Source organism: Homo sapiens, chromosome 15 (assembly GCF_000001405.40).
Source record: "Homo sapiens chromosome 15, GRCh38.p14 Primary Assembly".
Taxonomy (NCBI): domain Eukaryota; kingdom Metazoa; phylum Chordata; class Mammalia; order Primates; family Hominidae; genus Homo; species Homo sapiens.
Genome location: NC_000015.10, coordinates 58979245 through 58994725, shown reverse-complemented (window position 1 = coordinate 58994725; position 15481 = coordinate 58979245). Strand labels below are relative to the sequence as shown.

General features: G+C 41.2%; 1 protein-coding gene across 30 annotated transcripts in view, besides 4 other annotated features; it reads right to left on the bottom strand.

The window, feature by feature from the left end:
- RNF111 (ring finger protein 111) overlaps nucleotides 1-7063 on the bottom strand; it is a 109757-nt gene extending 102694 nt beyond the window's left edge. For 20 of the 30 annotated variants that reach the window (XM_047432701.1, XM_047432706.1, XM_047432707.1 and 17 more), the window contains exon 1: nucleotides 6658-7063. The gene's annotated coding sequence lies outside the window, so the exon portion shown is untranslated. Of the gene's footprint in view, nucleotides 1-3777; nucleotides 3811-6320; nucleotides 6589-6657 lie in introns of those variants that run through there. The other 10 variants (XM_047432702.1, XM_047432708.1, XM_047432713.1 and 7 more) reach the window with 3 other exon arrangements.
- Nucleotides 3117-3616: an enhancer, noted in NCBI's record as "H3K4me1 hESC enhancer chr15:59283309-59283808 (GRCh37/hg19 assembly coordinates)". NCBI's record gives its function as "activates a minimal SCP1, AML or CMV promoter by ChIP-STARR-seq in naive H9 embryonic stem cells {active_cell/tissue: H9 hESC(naive)}" and the evidence as "EXISTENCE:reporter gene assay evidence [ECO:0000049][PMID:30033119]".
- Nucleotides 6180-6344: a silencer, noted in NCBI's record as "fragment chr15:59280581-59280745 (GRCh37/hg19 assembly coordinates)". NCBI's record gives its function as "represses an EF-1alpha promoter that drives an FKBP-Casp9 reporter gene in an ReSE screen in phorbol 12-myristate 13-acetate-treated (for megakaryocytic differentiation) K562 erythroleukemia cells {active_cell/tissue: K562(+PMA)}" and the evidence as "EXISTENCE:reporter gene assay evidence [ECO:0000049][PMID:32094911]".
- Nucleotides 14799-14848: an enhancer, noted in NCBI's record as "active region_9484". NCBI's record gives its function as "activates an Ori minimal core promoter by ATAC-STARR-seq in GM12878 lymphoblastoid cells {active_cell/tissue: GM12878}" and the evidence as "EXISTENCE:reporter gene assay evidence [ECO:0000049][PMID:35858748]".
- Nucleotides 15239-15338: an enhancer, noted in NCBI's record as "active region_9483". NCBI's record gives its function as "activates an Ori minimal core promoter by ATAC-STARR-seq in GM12878 lymphoblastoid cells {active_cell/tissue: GM12878}" and the evidence as "EXISTENCE:reporter gene assay evidence [ECO:0000049][PMID:35858748]".

Below are 15481 nucleotides of genomic sequence, written 5' to 3'. Positions count from 1 at the left end.
TAGGCTGATCACTTAAAGTCATGGGTTTGAGACCAGCCTGGCCAAGAGGGTGAAACCTCGTCTCTAACTAAAATACAAAAATTAGCTGGACGTGGTGGCGGGCACCTATAATCTCAGCTACTCAGGAGGCTGAGGTAGGAGAATCGCTTGAACCTGGGAGATGGAGGTTACAGTGAGCCGAGATCACACTGCTGCACTCCAGCCTGGGCAACACAGCGAGACTCCACCTCAAAAAAAAAAAAAAAAAAAAAAGAGAGAGAAAATAAGAAAGCAAGAGTGACAACATTAAAAATTGGTGAATCTGAATAATGAGTATTCAAGAGTTCTCAGTACTATTTTTTAAATCTTTCGGTAAGTTTGAAATTATGTCAAAATAAAAATGTAAGTAGCCAGGCGTGGTGGCTCACGCCTGTAATCCCAGCACTTTGGGAGGCCAAGGCGGGAGGATTACTTGAGGTCAGGAGTTCGAGACCAGCCTGGCCAACATAGCGAAACCCCATCTCTACCAAAAATATAAAAAATAACCTGAGCGTGGTAGCGTGCACCTCTAATCCCAGCTACCTGGGAGGGTGAGTCAGGAAAATCACTTGAAGCTGGAAGGTGGAGGTGACAATGAGCCAAGATGGGGCCACTGCACTCCAGCCTGGGCCACAGAGTGAGACTCCATTAAAAAAAAAAAAAAAAAAAAAAAATTTAAGTAACAACAAATTGGGATGTCAAAAGATAGTAAAATAAGTAATTTATTCGAGTGCCCTATAGTACATATGAATAAGGGAAATGACTACAACATTGATTCAGACTTGACACCTAGCCATATATAGAATTTCTTAAATTTTCTATTTGGTAGAAAAGGAAAAATATTTTTTAAGAATCCAATCACATACAAACTAAACTAAGATGCTAATCGTGTATGCCCTCAGGAAAACACAAAAATCTTCTCCATGTTAACACAATCCACACTGCCAAACTCTCCTTTCCACCAGCAAGCCATAAGCCCCTTCAGGCAGGTGTTAAGAGCCTGCCCTTTGTTTTAACTCAAGCACTGGCACAGTGCCTGAAATACAACACTCCTGTTTGTTGAATAAATACTGAACATTTACAAATAGAAACGAAATACTGTATTTTTATCAAAATGAAAAGAAGCGTGGAAGGGAACAGACACTTAAATATGGTACTTTCACAAATTTTGAGATGGAGTCTCACTCTGTTACTCAGGTTGGAGTGCAGTGGTGCAATCTCAGCTCACTGCAACCTCCACCTCCTGGGTTCAAGCAATTCTCCTGTCTCAGCCTCCCAAGCAGCTGGGATTACAGGCACCCACCACCACGCCCAGCTAATTTTTGTATTTACAGTTATATTTTTTTTATTTTTGTGTTTTTAGTAGAGACAAGGTTTCACCATGTTGGCCAGGCTGGTCTCGAACTCCTGATGTCAGGTGATCCACTCGCCTTGGCCTCCCAAAGTTCTGGGATTACAGGTGTGAGCCACTATACCTGGCCACTTTTACTAATTATTTTAAAACATTTTTATTTACAATTGAACATTTTCTTTTTTTTGAGATGGAATCTTGCTCTGTCACCCAGACTGAAGGGCAGTGGCGCAATCTTGGCTCACTGCAACCTCTGCCTCCTGGGTTCAAGTCATTCTCCTGCCTCAACCTCCCAAGTAGCTGGGATTACAAGCACCCGCCACCATGCCCGGCTACTTTTTGTATTTTTTAGTAGAGACAGGGTTTTGCCACGTTGGGCAGGCTGGTCTCAAACTCCTGACCTCAGGTGATCCGCCTGCCTCAGCCTCCCAAAGTGCTAGGATTACTACAGGTGTGCACCACCATGTCCAGCCTAAACATGAATGAACGTTTTCAAAAATATATTATTTTATTTTATTTCATTTACTTATTTATTTTGAGATAGGGTCTGGCTTTGTCACCGAGGCTGGAATGCAGTGGCACAATCTCGGCTCATTGCAACCTCTGCCTCCCGGGCTCAAGCCATCCTCTCACCTCAGCCTCCCGAGTAGCTGGGACTACAGGCATGTGCCATTATGCCTGTCTAATTTTTGTATTTTTTTGGTACAGCCAGAATTTCGTCACATTGCCCAGCCTAGTCTCAAACTCCTGGGCTCAAGCAATCCACCTTCCTCAGCCTCCCAAGGTGCTATGATTACAGGCATGAGCCACTGGGCCCAGCCAAAAAAATATATTTTAAAATATGAACAATTTTCAAACCTCACAAAAGCAGAGAACAATATTATTAATACCCATGTACCCATCACCCCAACCCAACAATTATCCAGATTGTGCCAGACCTGCTTCATCTATCTTATCTCCCTCCACCACATTTTTTGGTTTTTATCTGGTATCTGTTTAAAATAACAGACATTGCTGGGCACGGTGGCCCACGTCTGTAATCCCAGCACTTTGGGAGGCCGAGACGGGCGAATCACCTGAGATCACGAGTTCAAGACCAGCCTGGCTAACATGGTGAAAAACCGTTTCTACTAAAAATACAAAAAGTTAGCAGGCGTGGTGGCGCGCTCCTGTAATCCCAGCTACTCAGGAGACTGACGCAGAAGAATTGCTTGAACCCGGGAGGTGGAGGCTTCAGTGAGCTGAGATCACACCACTGCACTCCAGCTTGGGCAACGAGGGAAACTCCATCTCAAAATAAAATAAAATAAAATAAAATACCAGACATTTGCAAGTTTTCTCCCTCATTCCTCAGTCTCTATCACTAATAAAAAGTGGTCATTTTCTTACATAAACATAATGCCATTATCATCCCTAACAAAGTTACAATAACTCCTTGATATCATCTAATACCCATCCATATTCAGATTTCCCCCAATGTTTCAAAAATGACTTTCTACAATTGGTTTGAGTCAGGGTTTAAACAACACCAACATATTGTATTTGGTTACTACACATAAAATAATTTTAATCTGTCTACATCATCTGACAGCAAATATGAAAAGCTTAACAGACAAACCAAATAATTAATTTACATTTGTAGATTCTCTAGAATCAAACCTCACCTAATGCATTTGCCGCCCCTGCTATCTGTAGCAGTCTTCCTCCAAATCGTCACTATGGCTGATTTTTTCTAGTCATTGAAGTCACAGGTCAAATTACCACCTCTAAAAAGGCCCTCCCTAACCACTCAATCTACAGTAAAACCACTTCCATCCATGCCGTATCACATGGTCCTATTTTCCTCATGGCACTTACCACTACCTGAAACCATTCTGTTTATTATGTTCCCACACACAGAACAGAATGTCAGCTCCATGAAGGCAGAGTGCCTTCACTGAAGACCAGTGACTGTGCCTAGAACATGAGACATTCAATAAATGTATCTACGTAATAATGCAGTACCGCTCTTTAAAATGTAAGCTCAGCTAAGTATTTGGAGGCTTTTTTGTTGTTTTGTTTTTTTTCAAGATGGAGTCTTGCTCTGTCACCCAGGCTGGAGTGCAGATCTCAGCTCAGTGGAACCTCCACCTCCCGGGTTCAAGCAATTCTGCCTTACCCTCTTGAGCAGCCAGGATTACAGGCGCATGCCACCACCATGCCCAGCTAATTTTTGTATTTTTTTTTTAGTACAGACGGGGTTTCACCATGTTGGCCTGGCTGCTCTCGAACCCGACCTCATGATCTACCCGCCTCGGCTTCCCAAAGTGCTGGGATTACAGGTATGAGCAAGCGCACCCAGCCTCAGCTAAGTATTTGTCTTTAAATATTTGTAATTCACTCCTCATGTAATGATATAAATTGAGTACCTGTAGAAACCTGGGCCAGCTGTTACCAAGAATCTGTAGGATGTAGGAAAGAAACAAACAGAGGTATAAGACATTCAAATGTAATTGTGGACTTTTACTGAACAATAATTACAGGTTTCTGAAAGAAAAACAAATTATTCCAGATGATTTTTAAAATGTTACCAGGAGTAATAAAAAATTTCATTTTTAGTACCATCTGAAAGCTATTAAAGCTTCAGTAATTAATATCTACAATGGGACAACAATAGCAATAATATGTGGAACAACAATCATAGTTTTTTTGTTTGTTTGTTTTGAGAAACAGTCTCGCTCTGTCGCCCAAGCTGGAGTGCAGTGAGTGGCACGATCTCCGCTTACTGCAACCTCCGCCTCCGAGGTTCAAGCCATTCTCCTGCCTCAGCTTCCCAGGCAGCTGGGACTACAGGCGCACACCACTAAGCTCGGCTAATTTTTTGTATTTTCAGTAGAGATGGGGTTTCACCATTTTGGCCAGACTGGTCACCTCAAGTGATTCGCCCGCCTTGGCCTCCCAAAGTGCTGGGATTACAGGGGTGAGCCACCACGCCTGGCCCACAGCTTCATGACAGGTTTTACACATACACATTTCATGAGGGAATTGATGCTTTTTGTACAGCATTTCTTTCTGGGGATTCAATTACGACAAACACAACAATGAATACCAAAAACCTAACTAGATATACAAACCATTAAATTTGGGACCTAAAGAAAACGAAAGTTATCTATTCTACAATTCTCATTTAAACAGAGAGACCTGAAGCCCAAGGAGGGTTAACAATAAACTCGGAGATCTAATGTATAGCAAGCAAAGATAGATCTAAAATCTAGATCTCCTGTCCTTAGCCCTATATTATTTCATAAGATAACGTTACCCATAGAACGGTAATGTCAAGTTATAACATATTTTAACTGCTATCATTTTTCAGATGGTCTCTTTTATTTCCTACTGAAGTCTTGGCCCAAAAGGGGAGAAAAAGTCAAAAGAAGGGCACATAAGTATGCCTCAAGTAAAGCATGATACAGAAACCTCTCTTTAAACTATAACAAAAAAAAAAAGAAGGAAACATCTAAAAATCTAAATGGTTTGATTCAATTAGTTTCCTTTATATTTTTTATTTTAAAGTAAAATAACTAGGAGTATCTGCTAAATGACTGCACCTTAGCTTTATACAAGCAAGGTGCTTTTCTCTTAAACATCACAACAGCTCTCTCTCAATAATCTGTAGAAATGGAGTACCAAAGTGAAATTCGTTAAGATGTAACCTCTGCTGTAATGCATTTTTCACCAAAATGAAGTCACTTTGTTTATACCTTTCTTTAAAAACCAGTTCTATGTCTGGTGAAATAACTAGCAAACAAGTGGCCAACAGACACCAAACAAAAGTTAAGAAGTGACAGAAGGATCTGCACATGATATAGCACCCGTGATAAACAAGGAGACTCATTCTTCCTACTTTTTCCTAAAATATTATTTAGATTTATAAACACCCTCACCAATTCTTAGAATACTGTTGTGAATCTTTGGTCACAAACAAATGAGCAGGAGAGAGATGATAAAGTCATTTGTCCAAGGTTAAATGGCAAGAAAGTGTCCAAAATAAGATAAATCAAGGCTTTAGAAACAATCAATTTAAAATGATTGTAAAAGTAAAAGGGCTTCCTTCTTATCCATCTGTTTCACCTCACAAATATAACCAGACTAGGGTGAAACAATGTGGCTTATACTGACATGAAGATTTTTACAAAAATACATATAGTAATAAACTATCAAAAGATGTATCTTTACTGTAATAAAGCTAAGTCCAGCGTTACAGAAGTTGTGTATGGTAATCTCAAAATCACATTCAAGCATTTACAACCATCACACACACACACAACAAAAATGGGAAAGGAAATGGAACCTTAGCTTATGTTTTTCCCAGTTTGTTCTTTTTAGTTCAAGAGGCCCCTAAAACAAGAAAATTATAGATAAAATACCAAATGAAATAAAGTTTAGATTAAGTCACATTCAAAAGCTACAGGAAATCCTACAAAACGTAGTCTATGTCAGCTGGCATCTTACCATTCAAGAGAATTCTAAATTAATGCCGCACATAAATCAAGAAACAGGAAAGCTTACAACAACACAATGGAGTCACCCCACAACACACACACGAACAAATTAAATGAATACCTCATACTTTCTGGTATTTTTTGAATAATCAAAACTTAGGTTGAGAAATACCCATCTGTAAAGATCTATCTACTATAACCTATTTAAGAACTGTTGTAACAAATCTATTTCTGCTGCACTGAACAGATATTCCCACTATAGCACTGACACTGACTCTGATAAATTATCGAAGGACAATAGTAAAAACATCAGTTTCTTTTTAAATGACCAACAAGCCAACTCCATACAAAATCTGACGCGTCTGTATTTCAGCTGTTCCGCGGACTACGTTTCCTTGATCACAGCAGCAGCAGGCGACTCCCTAGCCGTCAGGGCTGACTTAGCGCCCTCCAACTCCCCGGGTCCGGGTTACCTTCATCACTCCATTGTCAAATCGCACTCCCACGCCTCGGTCCTCAGCCCCCATCCTGAGACTCTAGGGAGAGTCGGAAGTGGGAGAGAAATCCCCTCACCCACACTCCCTCACTGTAGGCTGTGGGTGTGTCGGTAGACGAATGCCTTGCCCAAACACAAATCGTCTGCGGAGACCCAGACCCTAAGTCACCACCGAGCCAGAGATAACCGGCCGGTCACCGACCCCAGCCTTCCGCGGCCGCAGCCCTTCCTCTTTCTCCCCTCCAGGCCGGCCCCTCCCCCGTTGCGCGCACGCGCGGCCTCCAATGGATCCCCTCCCCCCCCGTTCCCCTCACCTTAATCATTAGCCACCCTCTTCTCTTCCAGGGTCCGGGAATCACTGACCCAGGAAGGAAGACAGAAATGTAAGGCGTAAAGAGTAATGCGTCGAGAGCCAGCGATCTGCGCCTCAGACGTCGGCCTAATAGGCCCCTAGAGTCAAGAACAGTGTCTGTCACCGCCACCAAAACTGTACGTGCGGCAGCGCCTGGACTCGGCCCAGCTAAGCCGGCGTGGGTTCAGAATGCCTAATTTGGTCCCACAAGAACTCCTTCTCTGAAGCTGCGGGCGTTTCTACGCTGCGCAAACCGAACACCTCCTCGCCGTCGCCGCCACTGCCGCTGCTCCCCTACAGCCGCCGCCGCCGCTTCGCCGCCGCCGCCGCCTAACCAATTCCTCCCCTACCGAGGAGAGCACGACACTAGGGCTCTTTACGACAGTTCGGAAAGTGAGAGCGCAGTAGCCTTCACGCCTCCATTAACATCTGTTTGTTTCTGCGCTTGCTCGATTCCCGTTTCTCACCGTCCCGCCCCCTCGGTCCCGGCCCTCCCCCTTTGTACTGGTTTTATCAGTCTGTTGGCGAACTGAAAGGTGTCACAAAGCTCATTATTTAATTTTCTTTGGTGATTATGCGTTCAACATTTAAGCCAAATCTTGACTACATCTTGGTTCATTTTTTCGTAACTAAAAATTAACCAACTACAGAATTGATACATTTACAGATATACGTAAACAAAAACATCATGGGTTAGTGTCTTTCACAACAAATGATACCCATATCATATGCGCTAATGACATAAAGATCACGGCACCTCACTGTTAAAGTGAATTTGCTTCCGGAATCAGATCAAAAGTGGTCACATATCTCCTGCGAACTCGGGCTGTACAATCGCATAAGCCTCCTTGTTTATTTTATAAAAGTCAGTAGATAACAAATGCGTCATTATATGCATTAGGAGGATAGAGAGAGGATGAGCTTCAGAGTCCATCAGGCAGACTTCCTTTCAAAGTCCAGTGGTGCCACTTAAGAGTTCTCTGATTGATGAGATCCTTATAAATCTTAGTTTCCTCCTCTATAAATTGGGATAACGTATTTACCTCAAAAGGTTCTTGTTAGATTAAATGAGACAATTTATATAATGCTCTGAACATTACTTGCCAATTAAGTGTTCACTAAACATTAATTCCCTCCCTTTGCCATCAACTCATCTTTTTCAATACTTTTTTTGTTCACTCATATTTTCCGTATCATTCAGTAAGCAAATGATTTTGGCCGGGCACGGTGGCTCACGCCTGTAATCCCAGCACTTTGGGAGGCCTAGGCGGGTGGACTACCTGAGATCAGGAGTTCAAGACCAGCCTGGCCAACATGGTGAAACTCCTTCTCCACTAAAAATACAAAAACTAGCTGGGCGTGGTGGCGGACGCCTGTAATCCCAGCTACTCGGCAGGCTGAGGCAGGAGAATCGCTTGAGCCAGGGTGGCCGAGGTTGCAGTGAGCCATGATCAAGCCATTGCACCCCAGCCCGGGTGACAGGGAGACTCCGTCTCCAAGAAAAAAAAAAAAAAGGCTGGGCGCGGTGGCTCACGCCTGTAATCCCAGCACTTTTGGAGGCCAAGGCGGGCGGATCATGAGGTCAGGAGATGGAGACCATCCTGGCTAACACGGTGAAACGCTGTCTCTACTAAAAATACAAAAAATTAGCCGGGCGTAGTGGCGGGCGCCTGTAACCCCAGCTACTCGGGAGGCTGACACAGGAGAATTGCTAGGACCCGGGAGGCAGAGGTTGTAGTGAGTGCGAGATTGTGCCACTGCACTCCAGCCTGGGCGACAGAGTGAGATTCCGTCTCAAAACAAACAAACAAACAAACAAACAAAACACACACACACACACACACACAAATGATTTTAAAATTACAATAATGATCAAGGATAGCAGATTGTGTGGGAAAACTAAAAGAGCATTCGACTAGGATTTTCCTCAATCCTCCTATTTTCTCACTCTTAAACATAGAATTTTGCCCGGACTATCTTATCTTCTCCCTTGATTTTAACTGTTACTATCTCATGACTTCTCAAACCTGTATTTCCAGCTCTAACCTTTTTTCTGAAGCTTTTGACCTGTGTTCTTCAATTAGGTAGACACCAGCCATATGTGGCTGCTGAGCACTTAAAATGTGGCTAGACTCCCTCCTCTTCTCCCTCTCCCCTCCCCTTTTCCTTTTCCGTCTCCCTAAAAAAATAAATAAATAAAAATAATTGAGAAGTGCTTTAAGTGAAAAATACACATCGAATTTCAAAGGTACAATACAAAAAAAGACTGAAAAATCTCAGTACTTTTTAATATTTATTATATGTTGAAATAATATTTTGGATATATTGGGTTAAATCAGTGGTTCTGAAGCTGGGATGATTTAGCAACATCCGGAGACATTGCTGTTTGTTACAACTCAGGGAGGAGGGGCGTGGCTACTGGCATCTATCCACTAGGATAGAGGCTAGGGATGCTGGCCTCTCCACAACAAAGAATTCTTTGGCCGAAAATGTTAATAATGCAGTTGAGAAACCCCAGATGAAATAAAAGGGTGAGGGCTTCAACCCTGTTGGGATGCTGAAGGAAAAGAGTCAGTAGAAAAAAGGAGTGGAAAGATAAAGAAAATAAAGGGATGCGCAATGGAGAAAAATACCTATGGAGCCAGAGGAAATGAGATTTAAAGCTCAGATGGAAATTTAGCCTTGGATAGGAGAAGGGATGGCCTTTCCACTGAAACAGGTGAGAAGGAAGAAGACTGCAGTTTAGGTATGTTAGCTTCAGGGGGCAAATTGAGGGCTTGTTCACTGAATGACCTTGACTTCCTTATGAAACATGAGGTAGGGCCATCTATAAACATATGAGCTTTGGAAAATGCTGGGCGGAGAGTGACTAGAAGAGATTTTAAAAATCAGAATAGTCACTACCATAATGGCAGAAGGGCAACAAATCAAAGCCCAGAGCAGAAGAGGAGTGAGGTTGAAGGGACAGGTGTTACGCAGTTGTATTTAGAAGAATAATGGTAGATTCGGGTGAGAAGCGGCTCTCACCTAATTTACACATAACAATTTTCTGATTTCTATGCTTCTGCTTCCACCACTGTCACCACACCACCCCAAACTCAACCTTAAGCCACAGTTAGAGTATGGCAGAAACTGATTAGACATTAAATTGCTTAAATCTTTCAATGATCCTCCATCACCTTCAAGTTAAAAATCCTTAGCATGACAAATAAAGCCCTTCAAAATCCAGATTCTTCAGTATCACTTCATACCAGCCCTAGTTCCCATCCTGTCCCCTGACCCTTCCTGGACCTCGGTGGACTTCTCAAACTTCTTGTAATTCTCCAGGAAAAAAAAAAAAAATATATATATATATATATAATATATATATAAAAGAATATATAATATATATTATATATATAAAAGAATATATGTTATATATAAGAATATATAATATATATGTAAAAGAATATATATATATATTATTCCTATATAACTATCAATTTTCCCCATGAAGCTAACAAACCTAATTGCATTAGTACAATCTCACTTCTTCCCTCTCACATGTTTCAGTGGAAAGGCTATCCTTTCTCCTATCCAAGGCTAATTCTTCCATGTGAGATTTGGATCTCATTTCCTCTGCCTACATAAGAACTTTCTTCAACTGACCATCTTTTTATTTCCATTATCTTTCCTCTCTCTTTTTCTACTGTTTCTTACCCTTCAGAATACCAGCAAGGTTCAAGACTCACCCGATCTTAACTCCATATTCTTGTAGATATATGTCTCTCTTTTTCCATCTCTCTGCCTTTGCACAGTTCCTTCTGTCTCAAAATTCACCCCCTTTCTCCACATTTCCCACCCATGCTTTATCTGCTTAACAAATTCTTACCCATTCCTCCAAGCCGTCTTCCATGAAGCATTTCCTTACCGCTCTCCCCACCCCTTGAAATGGACTTACTCCAGTTTTAGTACTCTCTTCAAGCTTTATACATACATCTAAGTATTATGATTGTTTACATACATACCTGTCTCAAAACTTAAAATCAGAGAAAATGTCTTTCTCTCTTAAGTAGAAAAATAGCACTCAAATATTTATTGAACTGTACTGAATAAGAAGATTGGGATTCTAATCTCAATTTTGCCAGAAGAAACCAGAAATCCTTAATCAAATCACTTTAAATATCTGAAAATTAATTTTACTCACTTGTGGAGAGATCAAGTTTTTCCAAATGCACTCCAAACCAAATTCTGCTTTCCTCAAACTGCAGCCAAATAATGTTTACCAAATTAGTCTGCATATATGGGCCAGCAGAATCTAACTACTGCCTGACAGGAATTTGAGGAGTTTGGTCTAAACATGGAAATACTGGGCTGAATTAGTGAGTTACCTGCAATCAAGGGTAATAAGAAAATTTCTACAAACTATCAAAGTCAGAAGGAAAGACTGGTATGCCCATCATCCATTGCATAGTTCACAACTGTATAAAGTCTGCAAGTGAGAGTAACTAATTATGTGGTCAGCTTCGTGAGCTCTTTGGAAGAAATGGAGAAAAGTTTGAAGATGTAATGCAAGAGTTAGAAGATCTTGGGAAATTCTTGAAAGTATTTAGTGAACTATTTCCTCAGATGTAAAGCTTTGGAAATAATTAAAAGGATCTCAGAGATGAACTAATCAGAACACTTCGTGATTCAGAATATTTTATTTTCTTCTTGGCATATGAAGATATCACTGGAACTTAAAACTGAAAGAAAAGTGCTATAGACTCCATAACTGCTGATTTAGTTGAGGTAGCACAGTTCTCATTAAAATTTTCTATATGGGCTGGGTGTGGCGGCTCATCCCTGTAATCCCAGCGCTTTGGGAGGCAGAAAAGGGTGATCACCTGAGGACAAGAGTTGGAGACCAGCCTGGCCAACATAGTGAAACCCCATCTCTACTAAAAATACAAAAATTAGCCGCACATGGTGGCAGGCACCTGTAATCCCAGCTACTCAAGAGGCTGAGGCAGGCAATTGCTTGAGCCCAGGAGGTGGAGGTTGCAGTGAGCCAAGATCGTGCCACTGCACTCCAGCCTGGGCAACAGAACAAGACTTCACCTCAAAAAATACGTATCTAGATAAAAAATGATTTCAGGCTATGTGATTGGAAAGAGACTATTTTTAAAGATTATATATGTAGCATATACTACATATAGTACTATATAATCTTTATTATATGTACATAGAAACAGATAGATAGTAATTAGACACAGCCCTTTATCCTACTAAACTGTTTTGCAATCAATGCAATCATAGATTCTGAAAAATTGAGGAGCTATTTAGCAGAAGGATAACCTCAAAAGACAATACCTTTGTGATGAGTACTTATCAACTAATAAATTTACAATTTTCTTTGGAAGGCAACTTTCAAGATATATTTGAAATATCAAGAGGCCAGGCGCAGTGGCTCATGCCTGTAATCCCAGCATTTTGGGAGGCCGAGGTGGTTGGATCACCTGAGGCTGGGAGTTCGAGACTTGGCTGGCCAACATGGTGAAACCCCGTCTCTACTAAAAACACAAAGAAATTAGCTGGGCACACGCCTGTAATCCCAGCTACTTGGGAGGCTGAAACAGGAGAATTGCTTGAACCCAGGAGGCGGAGGTTGCAGTGAGCCAAGATCATGCCGAACAGAGCAAGACTCTGTCAGAAGAAGAAGGAGAAGGAGAAGGAGAAGGAGAAGGAGAGGAAGAGGAAGAAGAAGAAGAAGAAGAAGAAGAAGAAGAAGAAGAAGAAGAAGAAGAAGAAGACGACTCAATAACTAATACTATCTCTGTGACTCTGTTTCTAAAAAACAGAGGTAACAAATTATGGACTAACCAGGGGACACAGAATGCCTGGAATTTTGCAGATGAGCAAAACTTCAAATATCATGATATGTTTCTGGTTATCAGGCCAAATTCTGGGCATGTCTGAGGCTCTCTCATTCTGTGAAAGTATATTTTTAAGATAAAAGTGTAGAAAAATGAAAGTGAAAGCTGCCATTCACCATTGGTAATGTAAGCCTAGAACCACAAGCAAGGATTTCCAACTGACTGATAACCATTCTCAGAAATAGTTTAGTCTTTTAATTACCAATATTTTTACACACTTGGTTAAAGTTAGTCAGAGGTTTACCAGTGAGCATTTTCATTAAGTTGTTGTTAACTCTTGAAATGCTTTTGCAATGTCGCTTTTAAAATTCAGAATTTTTAATGCGCTCACCTCTATTAGCAATCTTTTTTACAATTACAAGTTTCTGGCCAGGTGCAGGGACTCACATCTGTAATCTAAGTGCTTTGGGAGGCTAAGTTGGGACAATCACTTGAACCTAGGAGTTCAAGACCGGCCTGGGCAAAATAGTGAGGCTCCATCTCTACTAAAAATCCAAAAAAATTAGCAGGACATTATGGCATGTGCCTGTAGTCCCAGCTACTCAGGAGGCTGAGACAGGAGAATCACTTGAGCCTGGGAGATTTAGGCTGCAGTGAACTATGAACACGTCACTGCACTCCAGCCTGGGTGACAGAGTGGGACCTATCTCAAAAAAAACAAAAGTTTCTGATCATTGAAAAGTTAGACTGGATAACCTCCAAAGTGCCTTAAAGTTCTAACATTTCATATTTTGCTTCAGACCTAATTAGATTTATGAGAACGCTATATTACAATTTCAAGTGTGATTTACATACTGGCTACTTAGTTGCAAATTCAGAACAGGAAGTAAAGACACTTTGATGCATTTGCTTGTTATTATTTACAGATCATGCAAAGTTTTCCAAAATCATTTAAAAGTTTCTCTAAACTACATTAGTATTAGTTTTAATTGCACAAACTAATACTTGATTATGATTTTAAGTTACAGGATTGCAGAGACTGTGCTTTGCTCAGTTGAAAGATTATATAGTACATTGTTCTCAGGAGGCTGAGGCAGGAGGATCACTGGAGCCCAGGTACTCAGGGCTGCAATGTGCTATGAACGTGACTGTGAATAGCCACTACACTCCAGCCAGGGCAACACAGTGAGACCATGTTTCAAAAAAAAAAAAAGAAAGAAAAAAATTATTATACAGTACATTAAAAACACTGATATATTGGGGGACTGTTCAGAGATAAAGATATAGAAGAAGAAGAAGAAAGAGAATAAAATGAAAGTGCCCATGTGCTAAAAGGGAATTTTAAAAATTTATTCGATAACTTGAATCCAAACACCTTTAGCAGTCAGGGCTTCTGATAAGATTGTAATTATTTTTGACTTTTGACAGAACATAAATCACTATTATGCAACAGAAATTTGTAAATATTAGAGATTTTAGTTTAATATCTTAATTTTAAAATTTGCTTAAGTATTTTTAAATTCTGAAAATATCAAGTGATTAAGGTTGACAATCACGAAACTCTGAAACCCAATCTATTTAAATTATACCGATAAGAAAAATCTATTTTCAAACCGTTCACAATTTAGAATTGAGTTAAACTAGGAAAGAGTGCCACCTACTGAATCAAAATTGCTTAAACATCTCAACATTAAGTTCATTTTGCAAAACCTGTAAAGCTCTAGCATTTTTTTCCTCAAAGATGTACGTTTAAGATAATCTTCATACAGCAAATATTGTTTTATTTAATGAAATTTTCTTTTTCAGTAGCAGATAACAGACTAGACTGGCCACAGGTGTTTATCATCCCAACATCACCCTGACAAACGAGAAAGGAATTAAAAACGTACAAAACACAAATGAAAATGGGAGAAGGTCATTAGCAAGCAAGTTATTCCACCTAATATCTGAAAGATAAAAATCAGAGGACTAGTGATTGTTATAGCAAAGTATCAAAGCTACACCAGACCGGGCAGGGTGGCTCACGCCTGTAATCCCAGCACTTTGGGAAGCCAAGGCCGGCGGATCACCTGAGGTGGGAAGTCCAAGACCAGCCTGACCAACATGGTGAAATCCCATCTCTACTAAAAATACAAAATTAGCCGGGCGTAGTGGTGCACACCTATAGTCCCAGCTACTCAGGGGACTGAGCCAGAAGAATCGCTTGAACCCGGGAGGCAGAGGTTGCGGTGAGCCAAGATGGAGCCATTGCACTCCAGCCTGGGCAACAAGAGCGAGACTCCGTCTCAAAAAAAAAAAAGCTACACCATTAACTACTGTCAAAGAAGGCTGCACCAACAAGCAAGCTGCTATGCTTTGCAGAATACAAGACAGGCTATGGACTCAGGCCAAAGGCAAGGGAGGCCAACAGTAAAATGTAGAAATGAAACCAGAGGAGATTAATCATAAGTCTCTCTGGGCACAATCCCGTGAAACCTTTTCACCTCTCTCTCACCACATAAAGAAAATGTGGCATCTAGGCTTTTAAGTCCTAGGCTAAAAACAGGAGCAGGGAGTTCTGTAAAGAAACACATTGAAGTAATTGAGAAGAACCAGAACAGCTGGTGAGACAAGCAGTGATAAATACTTCACATTCTAAGATGTATAGGCCCCACCTGCCCACACATGCCTGGTGGTAGGCAGCACCCTTCCACACAGACATCACACTTAGGGTTTTCTTGGTTTTGGTTTTGGTTTTTTTTTGAGACAAGGTCTTGCTCTGTCGCCCAGGCTGGAGTGCAATGGCGCCATCTCGGCTCACTGCAACCTCCACCTCCCAGGTTCAAGCGACTCTCCTGCCTCAGCCTTCCGGGTAGTTGGGATTACAGGTGTGCACCACCATGCCCAGCTAATTTTTGTATTTCTAGTAGAGATGGGGTTTCGCTATGTTGCCAAGGCTGGTCTTGAACTCCT